The sequence below is a fragment of the Homo sapiens genome, chromosome 14 (assembly GCF_000001405.40).
Source record: "Homo sapiens chromosome 14, GRCh38.p14 Primary Assembly".
NCBI lineage: Eukaryota > Metazoa > Chordata > Mammalia > Primates > Hominidae > Homo > Homo sapiens.
The window spans coordinates 43,836,649-43,840,367 of NC_000014.9; the positions used below are offsets into that span (position 1 = coordinate 43,836,649).

The 3,719-nt window shown below is 32.7% G+C and overlaps 1 annotated feature.

Moving 5' to 3' along the window:
- Positions 3,135–3,304: an enhancer, noted in NCBI's record as "experimental_34015 CRE fragment used in MPRA reporter constructs". NCBI's record gives its function as "activates a minimal promoter by MPRAs in K562 erythroleukemia cells, with activity observed for the introgressed 14:44309071 variant allele {active_cell/tissue: K562}" and the evidence as "EXISTENCE:reporter gene assay evidence [ECO:0000049][PMID:34662402]".

Below are 3,719 nucleotides of genomic sequence, written 5' to 3' on the forward strand. Positions count from 1 at the left end.
TCAGCATGGTTGGGGAGGACTCAGGAAACTTACGATCATGGCGAAGGCAAAGGGGAAGCAAGCACTTTCTTCACAAGGCGGCCCGAAGGAGAAATGCCAAGCAAAGTGGGTAAGAGCCCCTTATAAAACCATCTGATCTCATGAGAACAAACTATTATGATAATAGCATGGGGAAGCCACCCCCATAACTCAATAACCTCTACCTAGTCTGTCCTTTGACACATGGGGATTACGGGGTTATGAGGATCACAATTCAAGATGAGATTTGGGTGGGACACAAAGCCTAACCATATCACCACCTATTCTAGTAATTAATTCTCTGTTTAGCATTGTAAATTGATATAAAATTATGTTTGGCATGAAGTCTATATTAAACTTCTAGATAGCCTCCTAGTTCTAATTTATCAAGTCTGGTGATTCATTATGTATTTATTCTACTCTCCATGATTTTAAAATCTTTTTACCTTATGTTTTCTCTATTTAAATTCTTTTAGCTACAGTTTTAAGTCCTCACTCAGTTCTCAGCCACACTATCTCATAGTTTCAGTTACGCATCTATGAATATGTTTCAAAATGCATTATAGTTACTTTAAGGGGAAGCAATAAAACCTAAATTTAAAAATCCAGTTGTAAATGCACCTGTTAGAATATTTGGCCTGCTGTGCTCATTTCTACTTTATGAAGTAAAAGGCTTTGTATTTTGTTACCTAATAATTTAGAATTCCTATATTTTAAAAAATAAAGAGTTTGACTTTCTTCTTTATACTTCTGATCATCTGTTTGCCTAGGCAACAAAGAGACTCTGATATTATAAGTTAGTGCAGTAGAGATATGAGCTGGGTCTTTCTATCCTTGAGCTGTAGAGAGACTGCCCTACTGAAGTTAGAAACTTAATCACATTGTTCATTCATTCATTTACAGAAATTTACTGAACATTTAAAATATGCTAGTATACTTCAGTCCTGGTCCTCCGTGGTGTCACACTAAACCAGGGTTCTTAAAATAGGGGTTGTGGGCTTTCTTTTTAAAAATAGAATTTACTTAATCATAACTTTATATAATTTGAGTTCATTTTAAAGCAATTGTTTCTGCAAATTTTTTAATTGTATACATTTATGGGGTATAAATATGATATTGTTACATGCATAGATTCTGTAGCGGTAAAGTCAGGGTTTTTAGGGTATCCATCACCCAAATACTATATATTGTACTCATTAAGAAATCTCTCCTCATCCACCCCTCTTCTACTCCTTCATGATTCTAAATCTCCGTTGTCTATCATTCCACACTCCATGTTCATGCCCATGTGTATACATTATTTAGCTCCCATTTATAAGTTAGAACATGTAATATTCGACTTTCTTTGCCTGACTTGTTTCACTTAAGATAATGGCCTCCAGTTCCATCCATATTGCCACAAATTACATGATTTAATTCTCTTTTTTAGGATTGAGTGGGCTTTCATATAGACTTTATGAAGTTTTTGAGCTCCTTGAGCTAAATTGCAGCATATTATGCTCATGTGTATATTGCATTTTGTGGAAATTTGGGACATAATTTTCAAGAGGATTGGTGATTCTGAAATGATTAAAAACTTCCACTTTATACATTCAGAACTTCTGCTATATTTTTAACTATATTCAGAACTTCTGCTACCTCTGTGACAGTGACTCTCAAACCTAATTAGCTAATTATTGTATTTCTTCCATTCTTAAATCCTGCATGTCCAAATAAATGTCCCTTGGAAATCTCAATCTGAGTTAATTTATTATAATTATGTTTTCATTTATTTTATCCTCTATTTTTCCTCAAATAATTTGAATAAATTTATCACAAAATATATCCATGCAAAGTAGCCATCAAAGCAAAACAAAAGATCAGTTAATTAAGCGAAGTCAGAGGACATGGAGTGCAGTGGATGTCATTTTACCCTGAATCCTCACCATTTAAACTTTCATTTTTTGAAATTGCTTAAAAACATTGTGATATTTAAATCACTTCGTCTTAAGACTTTAGTATTAACCCTATATTTTATCTCCTTTTCACCTCAAATTTTATATTATATTCAAGTATTGAGGACTATACATTATTTCTTACACTAATTATTTAAATCTAGTTCTAATGTCTTTTCAACAATTATGGTTTTGTTTTTATTTGGACAACTGAAATATATTCATATGTGGCAAGCTGGATATTTTTGCTTACTTCTCTGAATTCACCCATTCTCCTTCTGAAGTCGCTTTCTAGACCATGAAGCGGACCTCTGTGGAAAACATACTGGGTTGGTTTGCCCTTTAAATTCTGTTTAAATAATTCTGTTTTAGTTCCTGCCATAAAATGGGACAAGAGATCTGAGAGAAGAAGTTGAACAACACTGGATGTTTATTTCTCAAGTTCACTCTGAGGTTGTCATAGGTTGGCTGAGTCCTGCACCCCAAAACACAGCTCCCCTAAAGGCTTTGCCTTTTTATTGTTCTCTCCCAGGTGTGCCTTCTGTATCTTTCCAGGGGTCTCATTGGGAAGCACAGTACATGTTCTTAAATCCATTTTTAATGGATCCTTCACCAATATTAATCTTTCTGAAGCATAATTTTCAGCACTTCACTTCAATAAGATATCAATATTCCTATGAAGGAAAATTCAGAATGTTAAATCTTCTTGGTGAGATATGATGCAATCCAGCTTCTCTTGTTTTAATTGTTTTTGCTTTTCCTTTTAATTTTTCCTATCAAAGTTAATTTTAAAAACTAAGACCAAATGTTGCTTTTGTCATTTCTTAATTGGATGACCTTTGGCAAGTTAGTGAATATGTTAATTCATAAGTTAATAAGTTAATGATTAGTTAATGTATAATTTTAAAGATTAAATGACATAATATGGGTAAAGAGCTTATGCCATTCTCTCTGCACTGATGTATTTTTTCACCATTCCCAAACATTGAAAGCCTACACGTACTCTGAGGTCCAGCTCCAATGTCATCATTTTTAATTTCACCATGCAGTCATAAGCTCTTTTCTTCCTCTAACCTCTTCAGCATTTTGTTTTAATGCATTTTAAAACATGTTTGTTACTTTGAATGTTTTAGATCTAATATTTATTCTATAATTCCTTGCAGGTTAGAATTTCCCTGAAGAAAAGAATTACATATTTTTTTTCAACTTTGTATTACTTCACTGGCTAAGCCTGATAAGAGTTCAGTAATTATTAAGTGAATAGATAAACAAATGAATAAACCATCTATTTCTTTTGGCTGCATTTTGATGAAACAAGAAAACCTATGCCCCATACTTTAACAATACAATCTCAAACCCTCTTCTCCACACACTTATATGTGTAGTTATTCTTATATCCTAATAGCCATTGCATTTGAAATTTAAATTACAGTTGATCATTGCTGCTATATAAACAATTAACTTTTGTATGTTAAGATTTTATCCTGCAACTTAGCTACAATTACTTTTTAGTTTAAGGAGACTTTTTGTCAATTCTTTTAGTTTTTCTCTAGATAGTCATATTATCAGAGAACAAAGAGTTTTATTTTTTCCCTTCCAATCTGTCTAATCTATTTTCTTATCTTGCATTATTGCACTAGTTAAGACATCTGATACAATGGTAACACAAGGCATTCTTGCCTTGTTCCCTACATTAAGGGGCAAAATCCAATTTCTCACAGTTAAGTATGATGTTAGCTACAGATTACTGTAAATTTTCTTTATCAA